Source organism: Homo sapiens, chromosome 7 (assembly GCF_000001405.40).
Source record: "Homo sapiens chromosome 7, GRCh38.p14 Primary Assembly".
Taxonomy (NCBI): domain Eukaryota; kingdom Metazoa; phylum Chordata; class Mammalia; order Primates; family Hominidae; genus Homo; species Homo sapiens.
Window position 1 is genome coordinate 54300479 of NC_000007.14, and position 21953 is coordinate 54322431.

A 21953-nucleotide genomic window follows, 5' to 3' on the forward strand; every position below is an offset into this window, starting at 1 on the left:
TTGTGGTGTTCCTATTGAGTCACAATATGACTTAAACTTATACCTTAATGGAAGTTTGGCTGGGAATGTAGAATAATAAATTAAAATTATATATTTTTTCTATGAGTTCTATATAATGTTTTCATTGCCTTATTGCATTTATCCTGTGCCAAGCTAGTTACTGTTTTTTTGCAAGTGCTTGTTTATTTTCTTTCCTCTCTGAAAGTTTATAGGAGGTTCTCTTGGTTTTCCTTATCCTATCAAGTGAGAATTTCCTCAATATTCAATTAACATATTCCATCTGAGTACTGCATCTATTCTTAGTTCAGTGAAGTTTTCTTCCCTGGCTTCTTTGATAGCATCCTTTTCTTTTGTCTTCTTTATATTTTCTCATATGTTCTTACAATATAGAGTACTGTTCTATATCTTGCATGTATCCTATATTTCCCTTCAAATTTTGTCTCCTAATTTTGAACTCTTTCTGTTATTTTAAGGTATGGTAGAATGGCCATGTTTGATATTCTTTATATCTAATTCAATTTTCAGAAATATAATTTTTATTATGTTTTTGAATTTGTGTTCCTAATATTTAAGATGTTTTTCCCTCTCAGTTTCTTTTTAACAGTGTATTATTGCTTTTAAGTATAATGTCCTCTCAAATTTTTTTCTGAAAATACTATCTAGAAGATAACATGAGGCAACCTACTGCCCTTGGGTATTGTGCTGACATTTTGGTTACAATAATGAAGGTACAATTCATGAAAAACAAATTTGGCTGGAATTAAAATTAAAAACTTTTTCTTGAAGGATGAGAAAAAACATACAAAAGATCAATGAATCTAGTAGTTTGTTCTTTGAAGGAATAATAAGATTAATAGCCCATTAGTTATAATAACAAAGAAAAAAGAGAAGATCCAAATAAACACTATCAGAAATGACAAAGGAGACATTACCACTGACCCCACAGAGACACAAAATATCCCTCAGAAGCACCTATTCACACATACTAGAAAACGTAGGAGAAATGGATAAATTCCTGGAAACATACAACCTCCCAAGATTTAACCAGGAAGAAACTGAATTCCTGAATAAACAGTAATGAGCTCTGAAATTGAATCAGTAATAAAAAGCCTACCAACCAAAAAAAGGCCAGGGCCAAATGGATTCACAGCTGAAGTCTACCAGATGTATAAAGCAGAGCTGTTTCCATTCCTACTGAAACTATTTCAAAAACTTGATGAGAAGGAACTCCTCTCTAACTCATTCTATGAGGCCAGCATCATCCCAATACCAAAACCTGGAAGACACACAACAAGAAAATAAAACTTCAGGCCAATATCCCTGATGAACATAGAAGCAAAAACCCTCAACAAAATACTGTCAAACTGAATCCAACAGCACATCAAAAAGCTAATCTAATGCAATCAAGTAGGCTTTATGCCTGGAATGAAGGTTGGTTCAACACATGTAAAACATGTTTTTCCCTCTCAGTTTCTTTTTAACAGTGTATTATTGCTTTTAAGTATAATGTCCTCTCAAAAATTTTACAAGTGATTCATCACATAAACAGAACTAAAAACAAAACCATATGATTGTCTCAACAGATGCAGAAAAGGCCTTCAATAAAATTCAGCATGCTTCATGTTAAAAGCCCTCAACAAACCGGGCATTAAAGGAACATACCTCAAAATAATAAGATCCATCTATGACAAACCCACAGCCAACCTTATATGGAATAAGCAAAAGTTTGAAGCATTTGCCTTGAGAATAAGACAAGGATGCCCCTGATCACCACTCATATTCAACATAGTACTAGAAATCCTAGCCAGAGCAGACAGGCAAGAGAAAGAAATAAAAGGCATCCAAACAAGAAGAGATGAAGTTAAACTATTTATGTTTGGAGAAAAGATGATTTTATACCTAGAAAACTGCATACTCTGCCTAAAAGCTCCTAGATCTGAATAACTTCAGCAAAATTTCAGGATATAAAATCAGTACACAAAAATCAGTAACATTTCTATAGAACAACATCCAAGCTGAAAGCCAAATCAAGGACACAATGCCATTCACAATAGCTACAAAAATAATAAAATACCTAGGAATACAGCTGACCAGGGAGGTGAGAGATCTCTACAACAATAATTTCAAAACACTGCTGAAAGAAATTAGACATGATACAAACAAATGAAAAAACATTCCATGCTCAATGATAGAATCAATATTGATAAATGACCATACTGCCCAAAGCACTTCACAGATTCAATGCTATTCCTATCAAACAACAAATGACATTTCTCCACAGAATTAGAAAAAAAAAACTATTTTAAAATTCATAGCAAACATAAAAAGAGCCCAAATACCCAATCCTGAGCAAAAAAAAAAAAAAAAAAAAAAAAGCTGGATACATCACATCACTCAGCTTCAAATTATACTGTTAATACAAGGCTGCAGTGACCACAACAGCATAGTATTAGTATAAAAACAGACACATAGACCAATAGAACACAATAGAGAGCCCAAAAGTAAAGCCACATATTTACAACTATCTGATATTTGAAAAAGTCAGTACAAAGAAGCAATAGAGAAAAAAACTCCCTATTCAATAAATAGTGCTGGTATAACTGGATAGCCATATGCAGAAGATTGCAACTGGGCATCTTCCTTATATCACCTACAAAAATAAATTCAAGATGAATTAAAGGCTTAAATTTAAAACCTAAAACTATTAGGTTGGTGCAAAAGTAATTGCTGGGCCGGGCCTGGTGGTTCACGCTTGTAATCCCAGCACTTTGGGAGTCTGAGACGGGTGGATCACAACGTCAGGAGTTCAAGACCAGCCTGGCCAAGATGGTGAAATCCCCCCTCTCTACTAAAACTACAAAAATTAGCCACGTGCAGTGGCAGGTGCCTGTAATCCCAGCTACTGAGGAGGCTGAGGCAGGAGAATCACTTGAACCTGGGCGGCAGAGGCTGCAGTGAGCCAAGATCATGCCACTGCACTCCAGCCTGGTCGACAGAGTGAAATGGCAAAACAGCAGTTATTTTTGCACCAACCTAATACAGAAACACAAGAAGATAACCTAGAAAATACCATTCTGGAAACAGGAACAGGCAAAGATGCCAATAGCAATTGCAAGAAAAATAAAAATTGACAAATGGGATCTTATAAAACTAAAGAGCTTCTGCACAGCAAAAGAAACCATCAACAGAGTAAACAGCCTACAGAATGAGAGAATTGGCAGTTTCTTACAAAAATTACATACTCTTACTATACAACCCAGCAATCATGCTCCTTGGCACTTACCAAAATTAGCTGAAATTTATGTCCATGCAAAAACCTGCATATGAATGTTTATAGCAGCTTTATTCATATGTACCAAGATACCCTTCAGTAGGTGAATGGATAAAGTGTGGTACATCCAGACAATGGAATATTATTCAATGCTAAGGAGATACGAGCTATGAAGTCATGAAAACACATGGAGGAAACTTAAATACGTATTGTTAAGTGAAAGAAGCAAATCTGAAAAGGCTACTACTGTATAATTTCAATTATATGCAACTGTGGAAGAGGCAAAACTATGGCGATATTACAAGGATCAATGGTGTCAGGTGCTGGGTGGGGGATGTGTAGGTGAAACACGGAGAATTTATAGAGGAATGAAACTATTCTGTATGATACAATGGTGGATACATGTCATTATACATTTGTCCAGACCTCTAGAATATATATTACCAAGAGTGAACCCTAAAGTATGGTACATAGCTTAGGCAATTATGGTGTGTCAATGTAGGCTCATCAATTCTGACAAATGCAGCACTCTGGTGGGGGATGTTGATAATGGCATAGGCTATGCATAGAGAAGTTAGAGGGATATGGGAAACCTCTGTACTTCTGCTCAATTTTGTTGTGAACCTAAAACTGAGCTAAAAAACTTATATAAGAAATAATATTAATAATTTTATAATAAATAAGTCATGAAAAGACATGGATGAATCTTAAATGCATATTGCTTAGTGAAACAGCCAGTCTGAAAAGGCTACACACTGTGTGATTACAACTCTATGACATTCTGGAAAACACAAAATTACAGAGACAGTAAATAGATCAGTTGTTTCAAGGGATTTGGGAGGGTGAAGTTAAGTATGTGAAGGACAGGAGATTCTTTGAGATTGTAAAACTATTCTATATGATATAATGATGAGTATAATACATTAAGTATGTGTCAAAATCCATAAATATTTTTTGTTTGTTTTCTTCACTATCATTTATTTTTATTTATTTATATTTAAATATAGATATATTTAAATATTTTGTTTGTATTATTTCATTTTTCATTGTATAAACACATAACATGAACTCTACACACTTAACAAATTTTTAAGTACACAATATAATATTGTTGAATCTAGGCCCAGTGTCATACAGTTCTCTAGAACTTATTCATCTTCATACCCATCGAACATTAACTCCCCATTTCACCTCTTACCTGTTCCTGGCTACTACCATCCTACTCTGTTTCTATGAGTCTGACTATTTAAGATACCTCATACAAGTTAAATCATGCAGTATTTGTCCTTCTGTAACTAGTTTATTTCACTTGGAATGATGTCTTCCAGGTTCATCCATGGCATTGCATATGGCAGAATTTCTTTCTCTTTTTTTTTTTTTTTTTTTTTTTTTTTTTTTTTTTTGAGACGGAGTCTCGCTCTGTCGCCCAGGCTGGAGTGCAGTGGCGCGATGTCGGCTTACTGCAAGCTCCGCCTCCCGGGTTTACGCCATTCTCCTGCCTCAGCCTCATGAGTAGCTGGGACTACAGGCGCACACCACCGCACCCGGCTAATTTTTTGTATTTTTAGTAGAGACGGGGTTTCACCGTGTTAGCCTGGATGGTCTCGATCTCCTGACCTCGTGATCTCCCTGCCTTGGCCTCCCAAAGTGCTGGGATTACAGGCTCTTACTCTTTTTAAGACTGAATATTATTCCATTGTATCTGGGTATGACATTTTTTTCTCCATTCATACATCAGGGAACATTTATGTTGTTGCCATATCTCGACTATTGTGAATAATTTTGCAGTGAACATGGGAGTGCAGATATCTTTCCAAGATATATGTTTGTTTACATCTTTTCAGATATGTATACACACATACATTTCTTTATTCTGTCAGTTGACAGGGCCTGGAAACAATACCCTGGAGACAGTCTAGTGCCTTGATCTTGGTTTCTAACATATTTCTCCAATAAAAAATATCAGGAATCCTTGGAGAAATGGCTGATTCTAGTACTGTGGTAGGAAATCCACAAGATGAATCTGGATTACCTTGTTGTGCCAGAAAGTAAAATAGTGCTAACAAACAAACAGAAAAGACACACAAAGATACAAGCATATCAAAGGAACTCAGAAGCAAACTGAAGAGCTCCAAGGGGCCAAATTTGAAACAATTGGAGCAAGAAAACGAAGTAGTATTTGAAGTATAACGTTAAATATAAAATAAGTATCCATATGTCAATATAGATATAAATAAATGGTTGAATAAATAAAAACAAACAAAATGGAGAAAGGAGAAATCTTTCTTTTTTATTATACTTTAAGTTTAGGGTGCATGTGCACAAGGTGCAGGTTTCTTACATATATATACATGTGCCATGTTGCTGTGCTGCACCCATTAACTCATCATTTAACATTAGGTATATCTCCAAATGCTATCCCTCCCCCCTCCCCCCACCCCACAACAGTCCCTGGTGTGTGATGTTCCCCTTCCTGTGTCCATGTGTTCTCATTGTTCAATTCCCATCTATGAGTGAGAACATGTGGTGTTTGGTTTTTTGTCCTTGCGATAGTTGGCTGAGAATGATGGTTTCCAGCTTCATCCATGTCCCTACAAAGGACATGAACTCATCCTTTTTTATGGCTGCACAGTATTCCATGGTGTATATGTGCCACATTTTCTTAATCCAGTCTATCGTTGTTGGACATTTGAGTTGGTTCCAAGTCTTTGCTATTGTGAATAGTGCCGCAATAAACATACGTGTGCATGTGTCTTTCTAGCAGCATGATTTATAATCCTTTGGGTATATACCCAGTAATGGGATGGCTGGGTCAAATGGTATTTCTAGTTCTAGATCCCTGAGGAATTGCCACACTGACTTCCACAATGGTTGAACTAGTTTACAGTCCCACCAACAGTGTAAAAGTGTTCCTATTTCTCCACATCCTCTCCAGCTCCTGTTGTTTCCTGCCTTTTTAATGATCACCATTCTACTGGTGTGAGATGGTATCTCATTGTGGTTTTGATTTGCATTTTTCTGATGGCCAGTGATGATGATCATTTTTTCATGTGCCTTTTGGCTGCATAAATGTCTTCTTTTGAGAAGTGTCTGTTCATATCCTTCGCCCACTTTTTGATAGGGTTGTTTGTTTTTTTCTTGTAAATTTGTTTGAGTTCATTGTAGATTCTGGATATTACCCTTTGTAAGATGAGTAGATTGCAAAAATTTTCTCCCATTCTGTAGATTGCCTGTTCACTCTGATGGTAGTTTCTTTTGCTGTGCAGAAGCTCTTTAGTTTAATTAGATCCCAATTGTCAATTTTGGCTTTTGTTGCCATTGCTTTTGGTGTTTTAGACATGAAGTCCTTGCCCATGCCTATGTCTTGAATGGTATTGCCTAGGTTTTCTTCTAGGGTTTTTATGGTTTTAGGTGTAACATTTAAGTCTTTAATCCATCTTGAATTAATTTTTGTATAAGGTGTAAGGAAGGGATCCAGTTTCAGCTTTCTACATATGGCTAGCCAGTTTTCCCAGCACCATTTATTAAATAGGGAATCCTTTCCCCATTGCTTGTTTTTCTCAGGTTTGTCAAAGATCAGATAGTTGTAGATATGTGGTATTATTTCTGAGGGCTCTGCTCTGTTCCATTGATCTATATCTCTGTTTTGGTACCAGTACCATGCTGTTTTGCTTACTGTACCCTTGTAGTATAGTTTGAAGTCAGGTAGCGTGATGCCTCCAGCTTTGTTCTTTTGGCTTAGGATTGACTTGGTGATGCGGGCTCTTTTCTGGATCCATATGAAGTTTAAAGTAGTTTTTTCGAATTCTGTGAAGAAAGTCATTGGTAGCCTGATGGGGATGGCATTGAATCTATAAATTACCTTGGGCAGTATGGCCATTTTCACGATATTGATTCTTCCTACCCATGAGCATGGAATGTTCTTCCATTTGTTTGTGTCCACTTTTATTTCATTGAGCAGTGGTTTGTAGTTCTCCTTGAAGAGGTCCTTCACACCCCTTGTAAGTTGGATTCGTAGGTATTTTATTTGCTTTGAAGCAATTGTGAATGGGAGTTCACTCATGATTTGGCTCTCTGTTTGTCTGTTATTGGTGTATAAGAATGCTTGTGAGTTTTGCACATTGATTTTGTATCCTGAGACTTTGCTGAAGTTGCCTATCAGCTTGAGGAGATTTTGGGCTGAGACGATGGGGTTTTCTAGGTATACAATCATGTCATCTGCACACAGGGACAATTTGACTTCCTCTTTTCCTAATTGAATACCCTTATTTCCTTCTCCTGCCTGATTGCCCTGGCCAGAACTTCTAACACTATGTTGAATAGCAGTGGTGAGAGAGGGCATCCCTGTCTTGTGCCAGTTTTCAAAGGCAATGCTTCCAGTTTTTGCCCATTCAGTATGATATTGGCTGTGGGTTTGTTATAAATAGCTCTTATTATGTTGAGATACGTCCCATCAATACCTAATTTATTGAGAGTTTTTAGCATGAACTGTTGTTGAATTTTGTTGAAGGCCTTTTCTTTATCTATTGAGATAATCATGTGGTTTTTGTCGTTGGTTCTGTTTATATGCTGGATTACATTTATTGATTTCTATATGTTCAGCCAGGCTTGCATCCCAGGGATGAAGCCCACTTGATCATGGTGGATAAGCTTTTTGATGTGTTGCTGGTTTCGGTTTGCCGGTATTTTATTGAGGATCTTTGCGTCAATGTTCATCAGAGATATTTTTCTAGAATTCTCTTTTTTTGTTGTGTCTCTGCCAGGCTTTGGTATCAGGATGATGCTGGCCTCACAAAATGAGTGAGGGAGGATTCCCTCTTTTTCTATTGATTGGAATAGTTTCAGAAGGAATGGTACCAGCTCCTCCTTGTACCTCTGGTAGAATTCGGCCGTGAATCCATCTGGTCCTGGACTTTTTTTGGTTGGTAAGCTATTGATTATTGCCACAATTTCAGAGCGTGTTATTGGTCTATTCAGAGATTCAACTTCTTCCTAGTTTAGTCTTGGGAGGGTGTATGTGTCGAGGAATTTATCCATTTCTTCTAGATTTTCTAGTTTATTTGCGTAGAGGTGTTTGTAGTATTCTCTGATGGTATTTTGTATTTCTGTGGGATCGGTGGTGATATCCCTTTTATCATTTTTTATTGTATCTATTTCATTCTTCTCTCATTTCTTCTTTATTAGTCTTGCTAGCAGTCTATCAATTTTGTTGATCTTTTCAAAAAACCAGCTCCTGGATTCATTGATTTTTTGAAGGGTTTTTTTGTGTCTCTATTTCCTTCAGTTCTGCTCTGATTTTAGTTATTTCTTGCCTTCTGCTAGCTTTTGAATGTGTTTCCTCTTGCTTTTCTAGTTCTTTTAATTGTGATTTTAGGGTGTCAATTTTGGATCTTTCCTGCTTTCTCTTGTGGGCATTTAGTGCTATAAATTTCCCTCTACACACTGCTTTGAATGTGTCCCAGAGATTCTGGTATGTTGTGTCTTTGTTCTCGTTGGTTTCAAAGAACATCTTTATTTCTGCCTTCATTTCGTTATGTACCCAGTAGTCATTCAGGAGCAGGTTGTTCAGTTTCCATGTAGTTGAGTGGTCTTGAGTGAATTTCTTAATCCTGAGTTCTAGTTTGATTGCACTGTGGTCTGAGAGACAGTTTGTTATAATTTCTGTTCTTTTACATTTGCTGAGGAGTGCTTTGCTTCCAACTATGTGGTCAATTTTGGAATAGGTGTGGTGTGGTGCTGAAAAGAATGTATATTCTGTTGATTTGGGGTGGAGAGTTCTGTAGATGTCTATTAGGTCCGCTTGGTGCAGAGCTGAGTTCAGTTCCTGGGTATCCTTGTTAACTTTCTGTCTCGTTGATCTGACTAATGTTGACAGTGGTGTGTTAAAGTCTCCCATTATTATTGTGTGGGAGTCTAAGTCTCTTAGTAGGTCTCTGAGGACTTGCTCTATGAATCTGGGTGCTCCTGTATTGGGTGCATATATACTTAGGATAGTTAGCTCTTCTTGTTGAATTGATCCCTTTACCATTATGTAATGGCCTTCTTTGTCTCCTTTGATCTTTGTTGGTTTAAAGTCTGTTTTATTAGAGACTAGGATTGCAAGCCCTACCTTTTTTTGTTTTCCATTTGCTTGGTAGATCTTCCTCCATCCCTTTATTTTGAGCCATGATCAAGTGGGCTTCATCCCTGGGATGCAAGGCTGGTTCAACATACACAAATCAATAAATGTAATCCAGCATATAAACAGAACCAAAGACAAAAACCACATGATTATCTCAACAGATGCAGAAAAGGCCTTTGATTAAATTCAACAATCCTTCATGCTAAAAACTCTCAATAAATTAGGTATTGATGACAAGTATCTCAAAATAATAAGAGCTATCTATGACAAACCCACAGCCAATATCACACTGAATGGGCAAAAACTGGAAGCATTCCCTTTGAAAACTGGCACAAGACAGGGATGCCCTCTCTCACCACTCCTATTCAACATAGTGTTTGAAGTTCTGGCCAGGGCAATTAGGCAGGAGAAGGAAATAAAGGGTATTCAATTAGGAAAAGAGGAAGTCAAATTGTCCCTGTTTGCAGATGATATGATTGTATATCTAGAAAACCCCATCATCTCAGCCCAAAATCTCCTTAAGCTGATAAGCAACTTCAGCAAAGTCTCAGGATACAAAATCAATGTACAAAAATCACAAGCATTCTTATACACCAATAACAGACAAACAGAGAGCCAAATCATGAGTGAACTCTCATTCACAATTGCTTCAAAGAGAATAAAATACCTAGGAATCCAGCTTACAAGGGATGTGAAGGACCTCTTCAAGGAGAACTACAAACCACTGCTCAATGAAATAAAAGAGGATAAAAACAAATGGAAGAACATTCCATGCTCATGGGTAGGAAGAATCAATATTGTGAAAATGGCCATACTGCCCAAGGTAATTTATAGATTCAATGCCATCCCCATCAAGCTACCAATGACTTTCTTCACAGAATTGGAAAAAACTACTTTAAAGTTCATATGGAACCAAAAAAGAGCCCGCATCACCAAGTCAATCTTAAGCCAAAAGAACAAAGCTGGAGGCATCATGCTACCTGACTTCAAACTATACTACAAGGCTACAGTAACCAAAGCAGCATGGTACTGGTACCAAAACAGAGATATAGATCAATGGAACAGAACAGAGCTCTCAGAAATAATGCCGCATATCTAGAACCATATGATCTTTGACAAACCTGAGAAAAACAAGCAATGGGGAAAGGATTCCCTATTTAATAAATGGTGCTGGGAAAACTGGCTAGCCATATGTAGAAAGCTGAAACTGGATCCCTTCCTTACACCTTATACAAAAATTAATTCAAGATGGATTAAAGACTTAAATGTTACACCTAAAACCATAAAAACCCTAGAAGAAAACCTAGGCAATACCATTCCGGTCATAGGCATGGCAAGGACTTCATGTCTGAAACACCAAAAGCAATGGCAACAAAAGCCAAAATTGACAAATGGGATCTGATTAAACTCAAGAGCTTCTGCACAGCAAAAGAAATTACCATCAGAGTGAACAGGCAACATATAGAATGGGAGAAAATTTTTGCAATCTACTCATCTGACAAAGGGCTAATATCCAGAATCTACAATGAACTCAAACAAATTTACAAGAAAAAAAAAAAACAACCCCATCAAAAAGTGGGTGAAAGATATGAACAGATACTTCTCAAAAGAAGACATTTATGCAGCCAAAAGACACATGAAAAAATGCTCATCATCACTGGCCATCAGAAAAATGCAAATCAAAACCACAATGAGATACCATCTCACACCAGTTAGAATGGCAATCATTAAAAAGGCAGGAAACAACAGGTGCTGGAGAGGATGTGGAGAAATAGGAACACTTTTACACTGTTGGTGGGACTGTAAACTAGTTCAACCATTGTGGAAGTCAGTGTGGCAATTCCTCAGGGATCTAGAACTAGAAATACCATTTGACCCAGCCATCCCATTACTGGGTATATCCCCAAAGGGTTATAAATCATGCTGGTATAAAGACATATGCACACGTATGTTTATTGCAGCAGTATTCACAATAGCAAAGACTTGGAACCTACCCAAATGTCCAACAATGATAGACTGGATCAAGAAAATGTGACACATATACACCATGGAATACTATGCAGCCATAAAAAATGATGAGTTCATGTCCTTTGTAGGGAGATGGATGAAACTGGAAACCATCATTCTCAGCAAACTATTGCAAGGCCAAAAAACCAAACCCCGCATGTTCTCAATCATAGGTGGGAATTGAACAATGAGAACACATGGACACAGGAAGGGGAACATCACACACCAGGGACTGTTGTGGAGTTGGGGGAGGAGGGAGGGATAGCATTAGGAGATATACCTAATGCTAAATGACGAGTTAATGGGTGCAGCACACCAACATGGCACATGTATACATATGTAACAAACCTGCACATTGTGCACATGTACCCTAAAACTTAAAGTATAATAAAAAAAATTTCATCTTTTTTTATAATAAAAAAAATTTCCTGCTTTTGCTGTATACCAGAGGTTTTGATTACTTGTGTCACTATTATCATTCATTTCAAATAACTTTTGAATTTCCACCTTGATTTCATCATGAAACCAAAAATCATCAAGGAGAAGTTTGTTTAATTTTCCTGTATATGTATAGTTTTGAGGGTTCCTTTTGGGGTTGATTTCTAGTTTTATTCCACTCTTGTGTGAGAAGACACTTGATATGAGTTTAATTTTTAAAAGTTTATTGAGATTTGTTTTGTGACCTATCATATAGTCTGTCTTGGAGAATGTTCTACGTTCTGATGAGAAGAATGTATATTCTGCAGTTCTTGGGTAGAATGTTCTGTAAATATCTATTAGGTCCATTTGTTCTGGAATGTAGTTGAAGCCCATTATTTCTTTGCTAACTTTCTGTCTTGATGGTCTGTCTAGTGCTATTTAAGATTGTGATATCTTCTTGTTGGACTGATCCTTTTATCATTATATAATGACTTTCTTTGTCTTTTTTTACTGTTGTTGTTTTAAAGTTTGTTTTATCTGATAAAAGAATAGCTACTCCTGCTCACTTTTGGTCTCCATTTGTGAGCAGGAGTAGCTATTTTCCTGCTTTTTCCACCCTTTTACCTTGAGTTTATAGGAATTCTTACATGTTAGTTGAATCTCTTGAAGACGGCAGATATTTGGTTTGTGATTCTTTATCCATTCTGTCAGTCTACACATTTTAAGTGGAGCATTTAGGTCATTTATATTTAACATTAATATTGACATGTGAGATATTGTTCCATTTATCATGTTAAATTTTGTCTAGATGCTTTGTTTTTTTATCATGTCTTTTTTTATAGGCATTGTGAGTTTAATGCTTTCAAGAGATTCCATTTTTGTGTATATCAAGCTTTTGTTTCAAGATTTAGAACTCCTCTTATCATTCCTTGTAGGAATGACCTGGTAATAAATTTCCTCAGCATTTCTTTGTCTGAAAATGACTTTATATCTCCTTTGTTTATGAAAGTTGGTTTGGCTGGCTACAAAATTCCTGGCTGACAGTTATTCTGTTTAGGGAGGCTAACAATAGGACTCCTATCCCTTCTGGCTTGTAAGGTTTCTGCTGAGAAGTCTGCTGTTAGTCTCTGATATGTTTTACTTTATAGGTTACCTGATGATTTTGTCTCACGGCTTTTAGACTTATTTCCTTCATGTTGACTTTTTATAGCCTGTTGACTATGTCTTGGTGATCATCTTTTTCTAATGAGTCTCACAGGAGTTCTTTGAGCTTCTTATATTTGAATATCTAAATCTCTAGCAAGATCAGGGAAGTTTTCCTCAATTATTCACTCAAATAAGTTTTCCAAACTTTTTGCTTTTTCTTCTCCCTCAGTAACACCAATTAATTTTAGGTTTAACCATTTTACATAATCTCACATTTGTTGGAAACTTTGCTCCTTTCTTTTGATTCTTTTAATTTTTGTCTGATTGGGTCAATTCAAAAGTCTTTTCTTCTAGCTCAGAAATTCTTTCTTCTACTTGTTTTAGTTTATTGTTGAAACTTTCCACTGCATTTTGTAATTTCCTATGTCTTTCATTTCTGGAATTTCTGATTGGTTTTGCTTTAAGATATCTATCTCTTTTGCAAATTTTTCATTCATATCTTGAATTTTTTTTTTAAAAAGCAGGTTTTCACTTTCTTTTGTTATCCCCTTGAGTAGCTTAACAATCAACCTTAAAAATTCTTTATCTGGTATTTCAAATATTTCATTTTGGTTTGTATTTATTGCTGCAGGGCTGGTGTAATCTTTTGGGGTTGTTATAGAACCCTTTCTTGTCATATTACTAAAATTATTTTTTCTGATTTCTTCTTACATGTGTAGACTATTTCTTCTAATTAGTCTGGATGTATTTTGTATTTAATTGCGGGTTTTAAAAATTTTCTTGTCCCCACCCCCAAGAATGTGACTTTCATATTTATAGTTTATTGTAGCCTAATTTGGCTCTTGGTTCCTTCAGGGGTGAAGACTCTATATAAGTTCCTTGGTTATAGAGAGTTTTCGTATGATGGATGATGATTGTAGTAACAATGTGCTCAGTGTATGAACAAGTTCACTGTTTTCTATAGGGTTGCAATGGCAGAAATCTCTTGAAGCTTAACTCATTCCCCTATTTTGTGTACTTATTAATTTATTTATTTGTTCCCCAGTATTTTATTTACTGGGTTGACTATTTCAGGCCAATAAGGGGTATGTCCATGGGTAAAAACTGGCTATGGCTAAAGTAGATGGGTAAATGCAATACCCAATGGTGGGCAGAGGTCCCAGCCTTGACAGAGGTGGCTAGGGAAGCTCTCAGCAAAATGCACTGAGGTCTTTTAAGAGGGAAGGACTGGATCTACCTCAGCTTCCCTACCAGGGCAGCAGAAAAGCTATCCATCACCTAGACACACTCTTCACCTAGTGTTCCAGCTATTCAGATTAGACAGTCACATATTTTTATCTGCAGGAATGTTGATGTTCCAAGTAGAGAGGAATTGTGACTCTACCTCTCATGCAAAGCAACCTGCATTTGGAGGTTGCTCCTTCTGTGGGGATGATGTCACCCTGAAGTGTTCCAGAAAGGCTGTCTCTAAGTGCACCCATGCTGAGCTCTTGGAAAAAACCACAGCTGTGTCCACAGTGGTGGATAAGGGAGAAAAAAGTTTCCTTCTCCAAGACCCTTCACAAGCACCAGGACTGCCTGAGTGTTGGGGTAGAGCTCCTGGGCTGCAGACATTCCCCACTGAGCCTGGCACTGCAACTATGCCTCTCCTGAAAGAAACTTCCCACCAGGAGAAAGATCTGGGACTCAAGTCCTGCTGTTTGGATTATTTTGTCCCAGGCATGTTCCCTTGATGTGGTACCCTCCCCATTCCTCTAGGAGTGGGAATCCCTGAGAGCCCTACTACTGTGAATGCCATTGCTCCCCTGAGTCTAGCTACCCAGTGAAGTTGCCATACTCCAGGCTAGTCCTGGGGAATGTCTACAAGGGATGTGGTGATGTACATGTCCTTAATATCCCCCAGCAACTGGTACCAGCACCAGCCCTAATGGTGGTGGCAGGGGAGTGACAGAGACTGTGAGACTCCTTGGTTATAGGTAGCCTTAGTGTGCTGGCTTTCTCAGTTGTGCGTTGTAGTGGTGATGAACTGGTCATGTGGACAGACTCAGGACCTCCTGGTTGGCCAGGGTGATGCAGGCAATGGCGATAGCAGAAGTTGCACATGAGTTTTCTTCTTTCTGGGAACAGTGTTATTCTACTTGAAGATGCTATAATGGACTACACAGTCCATTTGGTTGGCTGGTTGGCCTCCAGCCAGGAGGTGGTACTTACAAAAGAACACAAGCTACAATGATAGTTATGGGATTTCTGGTTGCCTTATGTTACCCTGGGGAGGTACTCTGGTTTCTCAGGTGATGAGCAGGGCTATAAAGCTCCCGAAAGATTCTATCCTTTGTGTTAAGCTACCATGGTGGTTAGAGGGGCAAAGCCAGATGGGGGCTGGGTCAGGCAGGTTTGTACCCTGGCTCTCTGCCTGTGGGGCAATCAGCAACTCCTATGGGAGTTACAAGGCAGTTATCTGACCACTGTCGTAATGTTTTATAGAGGAACATAGCTGCTTCTGCTGAACAGAAGAGTTCATGCAGGCAGTTTGTAGTAGCAGGTGGCAGTAAGCCTCACCCAGCTCCCAGATACTTGACAAGGCAGGTCTCACACCAGTAGTTTTCCACCTGCAGCAGAAAGCTAAGTTGCAGGCTGTCTACACTCATAATTCACAACTGCCCAGGCCATAAACTTTCTTCACAGAGATAGCAACCACAGGTTTCAGGCCATGCCCCTCCCAATCCACCCACACAGCTAGGACACCCAGCTCCTGGCTGCAGCATACTTCCCTCCCACTCATTCCTTGGTTCTGGCCAAGGGAGTGCTCTCCATTCAAGGCTATACTGTGGAATTCAGCTGGGGACTTTTTTCAACCTGTGATTGCTGTCTGAGTTAGTTGGGAGACATTTATGAGGTTCCTGTGAGGCATAATAAGGAATGGCTTCTCTTGGTCTATGTTGGACACTGGAAATGCATGTGAGGCTCTTCCTGCTGCCACTTCCACTTTTAGATTCCTCACCACTCTCTAAATCAGTTCTAGTGCTGGGTAGGGCTTTCCCCCATGGCCTGGTTTTCCAGGTTCTCCTTTGAGGGTGTATATCCTGGAGGCAGTCTCTCCCTCTCTCAAACTCTGGGACTTACAGTTTTTCTCCCGGCTCAAGATATAGGCGAAGCCTGCAACTTCTTTCAAAGTGTCTCTGGATTTCAGTTTTCCTGTTATGTTCCTGCATTGCTTCTTGGAACAAAAGTTCACAGTTAAATATCTAAAACCTACTTTTTCTTCCCAAGTGGGAGAGGCCTGCTGACGCTCCCTCTAATCCAACATCTTGGACTGGCAAAGAGTTAAGGCCTTAATGACGTAGGTAAATGTAACAATCTTTTAATTTGTGTTTATTTCTTGTTAAGTTCTTTCAAAATATTTACCTACTGATTGATCAAAAACTATTCTACATTACTTGTTAAGCTTTATTATTTTTTCTTTACTATATTGCTATAACCAATGTGGAATTGCTATTTGTGTATGGTGTGTGATAAAGAGCATTTTATAATCATCTATATATATAGATATCCAACATGACAGCATCATTTAATGAAAAATGTCCTTTTTTTACTGCTCTGCAGTGACTTTTTTTACACAAATCTATATTTATGCATAATGTAAATTTTCTTTTTTTTTTATTATACTTTAAGTTTTAGGGTACATGTGCACAATGTGCAGGTTAGTTACGTATGTATACATGTGCCATGTTGGTGTGCTGAACTCATTAACTTGTCATTTAATATTAGGTATATCTCCCAATGCTATCCCTCCCCTCTCCCCCGACCCCAGAACAGGCCCCAGTGTGTGATGTTCCCTTTCCTGGGTCCATGTGTTCTCATTGTTCAGTTCCCACCTATGAGTGAGAACATGCAGCATTTGGTTTTTTGTCCTTGCGATAGTTTGCTGAGAATGATGGTTTCTTCCAGCTTCATCCATGTCCCTACAAAGGACATGAACTCATCATTTTTTATGGCTGCATAGTATTCCATGCTGTATATGTGTCACATTTTCTTAATCCAGTCTATCATTGTTGGACTTTTGGGTTGGTTCCAAGTCTTTGTTATTGTGAATAGTGCTGCAATAAACATACATGTGCATGTGTCTTTATAGCAGCATGATTTATAATCCTTTGGGGATATACCCAGTAATGGGATGGCTGGGTCAAATGGTATTTCCAGTTCTAGATCCCTGAGGAATCACCACACTGACTTCCACAATGGTTGAACTAGTTTACAGTCCCACCAACAGTGTAAAAGTGTTCCTATTTCTCCACATCCTCTCCAGCACCTGTTGTTTCCTGCCTTTTTAATGATCGCCATTCTAACTGGTGTGAGATGGTATCTCATTGTGGTTTTGATTTGCATTTCTCTGATGGCCAGTGATGATGAGCATTTTTTCATGTGTCTTTTGGCTGCATAGATGTCTTCTATTGAGAAGTGTCTGTTCATATCCTTTGCCCACTTTTTGATGGGGTTTGTTTGTTTTTTTCTTGTAAATTTGTTTGAGTTCATTGTAGATTCTGGATATTAGCCCTTTGTCAGATGAGTAGATTGCAAAAATTTTCTCCCATTCTATATGTTGCCTGTTCACTCTGATGGTAATTTCTTTTGCTGTGCAGAAGCTCTTGGGTTTAATTAGATCCCATTTGTCAATTTTGGCTTTTGTTGCCATTGCTTTTGGTGTTTTAGACATGAAGTCCTTGCCCATGCCTATGTCCTGAATGGTATTGCCTAGGTTTTCTTCTAGGGTTTTTATGGTTTTAGGTGTAAGTCTTTAATCCATCTTGAATTAATTTTTGTATAAGGTGTAAGGAAGGGATCCAGTTTCAGCTTTCTACATATGGCTAGCCAGTTTTCCCAGCACCATTTGTTAAATAGGGAATCCTTTCCCCATTTCTCGTTTTTGTCAGGTTTGTCAAAGATCATATGGTTGTAGATATGCGGCATTATTTCTGAGGGCTCTGTTCTGTTCCATTGATCTATATCTCTGTTTTGATACCAGTATCATACTGTTTTGGATTCTGTAGCCTTGTAGTATAGATTGAAGTCAGGTAGCATGATGCCTCCAGCTTTGTTCTTTTGGCTTAAGATTGACTTGGCTGTTGCGGAAAGTCAGGGACCCCAAACGGAGGGACCGGCTGAAGCCATGACAGAAGCATGTGGATTGTGAAGATTGTATGGACATTTATTAGTTCCCCAAATTAATACTTTTGTAATTTCTTATGCCTGTCTTTAATGCAATCTCTAAACAGAAATTGTAAAGATTTCATGGACAATTATCACTTCCCCAATCAATATGCTTGTGATTTCCTATGCCTGTCTTTACTTTAATCTCTTAATCCTGTCAGCCGATAAGGATGTATATCATCTCAGGACCCTGTAATAATTGGGTTAACTACACAAATTGTACAGCATGTGTGTTTGAGCAATATGAAATGTGGGCACCCTGAAAAAAGAACAGGATAACAGCAATTGTTCAGGGAATAAGAGAGAGAACCTTAAACTCTGACCGCCAGTGAGCCGGGCAGAACAGAGCCATATTTCTCTTCTTTGAAAAGCAAAAGGGAGAAATATCGCTGAATTCTTTTTCTCAGCATGGGATATCCCCGAGAAAGAGAATGCGCACCTAGGGGTAGGTCTCTGAACTGGTCTCTTATGGTCGAGTTTGCAGAGGTGAAATAAACTCCAGTCTCCCATAGTGCTCCTAGGCTTATTAGGAAGAGGAAATTCCCGCCTAATGAATTTTGGTCAGACCAGTTGATCTCAAAACCCTGTCTCCTGATAAGATGTTATCAATGACAATGGTGCCCAAAACTTCATTAGCAATTTTAATTACGCCTCCATCCTGTGGTCCTGTGATCTCCCCCTGCCTCCACTTGCCTTGTTAGATTCTATTACCCTGTTAAGTACTTGATATCTGTCACCCACACCTATTCGTATACTCCCTCCCCTTTTGAAACTGCCTAATAAAAACTTGCTGGTTTTTGTGGCTTGTGGGGCATCACGGATCCTACCAACGTGTGATGTATCCCCCGGACGCCCAGCTTTAACATTTCTCTCTTTTGTACTCTGTCCTTTTATTTCTCAAGCCAGCCGACGCTTAGGAAAATAGAAAATAACCTACGTGATTATCAGGGCAGGTCCCCTGATACTTGGCAATGCAGGCTCTTTTTTGGTTCCATATGAACTTTAAAGTAGTTTTTTCCAATTCTGTGAAGAAAGTCGTTGGTAGCTTGATGGGGATGGCATTGAATCTATAAATTACCTTGCGCAGTATGGCCATTTTCATGATATTGATTCTTCCTACCCATGAGCATGGAATGTTCTTCCATTTGTTTGTATCCTCTTTTATTTCATTGAGCAGTGGTTTGTAGTTCTCCTTGAAGAGGTCCTTCACGTCCCTTGTAAGTTGGATTCCTAGGTATTTTATTCTCTTTGAAGCAGTTGTGAATGGGGGTTCACTCATGATTTGACTCTCTGTTTGTCTGTTATTGGTGTATAAGAATGCTTGTGATTTCTGCACATTGATTTTGTATCCTGAGACTTTGCTGAAGTTACCTATCAGCTTAAGGGGATTTGGGGCTGAGACGATGGGGTTTTCTAGATATACAATCATGTTATCTGCACACAGGGACAATTTGACTTCCTCTTTTCCTAATTGAATACCCTTTATTTCCTTCTCCTGCGTGATTTCCCTGGCAAGAACTTCCAACACTTTGTTGAATAGGAGTGGTGAGAGAGGGCAACCCTGTCTTGTGCCAGTTTTCAAAGGGAATGCTTCCATTTTTGCCCATTCAGTATGATATTGGCTGTGGGTTTGTCATAGATAGCTCCTATTTTGTTGAGATACGTCCCATCAATACCGAATTTATCAAGAGTTTTTAGCATGAAGGTTGTTGAATTTTGTGAAAGGCTTTTTCTGCATCTATTGAGATAATCATTTGGTTTTTGTTGTAGGCTCTGTTTATATGCTGGATTACATTTATTGATTTGCATATGTTGAACAAGCCTTGCATCCCAGGGATGAAGCCCACTTGATCATGGTGGATAAGCATTTCGATGTGCTGCTGGATTCAGTTTGCCAGTATTTTATTGAGGATTTTTGTATCGATTTTCCTCACGGATATTCGTCTAAAATCCTCTTTTTTTGTTGGGTCTCTGCCAGTCTGTTGTGTCAAGATGATGCTGGCCTCATAAGATGAGTTAGGGAGGATTCCCTCTTTTTCTATTGATTGAAATAGTTTCAGAAGGAATGGTACCAGCTCCTCCTTGTACCTCTGGTAGAATTCGGCTGTGAATCCATCTGGTCCTGGACTTTTTTTTGGTTGGCAGGCTACTAATTATTGCCTCAATTTCGGAGCCTGTTATTGTTCTTTTCAGAGATTCAACTTCTTCCTGGTTTAGTCTTGGGAGGGTGTATGTGTCAAGGAATTTATCCATTTCTTCTAGATTTTCTAGTTTATTTGTGTAGAGGTGTTTATAGTATTCTCTGATGGTAGTTTGTATTTCTGTGGGATCAGTGGTGATATCCCCTTTATCATTTTTTAGTACGTCTATTTGATTCTTCCCTCTTTTCTTCTTTATTAGTCTTGCTAGTGGTCTATCAATTTTGTTGATCTTTTCAAAAAACCAGCTCCTGGATTCATTGATTTTTTGAGGGTTTTTTTTGTGTCTCTATTTCCTTCAGTTCTGCTCTGATCTTAGTTATTTCTTGCCTTCTGCTAGCTTTTGAATGTGTTTGCTCTTGCTTCTCTAGTTCTTTTAACTGTGATGTTAGGGTGTCAATTTTAGATCTTTCCTGCTTTCTCTTGTGAGCATTTAGTGCTGTAAATTTCCCTCTACACACTGCTTTGAATGTGTCCCAGAGATTCTGGTATGTTGTCTGTGTTCTCGGTAATTTCAAGGAACATCTTTATTTCTGCCTTCATTTCGTTATGTACCCAGTAGTCATTCAGGAGCAGGTTGTTCAGTTTCCATGTAGTTGAGTGGTTTTGAGTGAATTTCTTAATCCTGAGTTCTAGTCTGATTGCACTGTGGTCTGAGAGACAGTTTGTTATAATTTCTGTTCTTTTAATTTGCTGAGGAGTGCTTTACTTCCAACTATGTGGTCAGTTTTGGAATAGGTGTGGTGTGGTGCTGAAAAAAATGTATATTCTGTTGATTTGGGTTGGAGAGCTCTGTAGATGTCTATTAGGTCCACTTGGTGCAGAGCTGAGTTCAATTCCTGGATATCCTTGTTAACTTTCTGTCTCATTGATCTGTCTAATGTTGACAGTGGTGTGTTAAATTCTCCCATTATTATTGTGTGGGAGTCTAAGTCTCTTTCTAGGTCTCTAAGGACTTGCTTTATGAATCTGGGTGGTCCTGTATTGGGTGCATATACATTTAGGATAGTTGGCTCTTCTTGTTGAATTGATCCCTTTACCATTATGTAATGGCCTTCTTTGTCTCTTTTGATCTTTGTTGGTTTAAAATCTGTTTTATCAGAGACTAGGATTGCAAGCCCTGCCTTTTTTTGTTTTCCATTTGCTTGGCAGATCTTCCTCCATCCCTTTATTTTGAGCTTATGTGTGTCTCTGCCCATGAGATGGGTTTCCTGAATGCAGCACATTGATGGGTCTTGACTCTTTATCCAATTTGCCAGTCTGTGTCTTTTAACTGGAGCATTTAGCCCATTTACGTTTAAGGTTAATGTTGTTTTGTGTGAATTTGATCCTGTCATTATGATCTTAGCTGGTTATTTTGCCCATTAATTGATGCAGTTTCTTCCTAGCCTCGATGGTCTTTACAATTTGGCATGTTTTTGCAGTGGCTGGTACCGGTTTTTCCTTTCTATGTTTAGTGCTTCCTTCAGGAGCTCTTTTAGGGCAGGTCTGATGGTGACAAAATCTCTCAGCATTTGCTTGTCTGTAATGGATTTTATTTCTCCTTCACTTATGAAGCTTAGTTTGGCTGGATATGAAATTC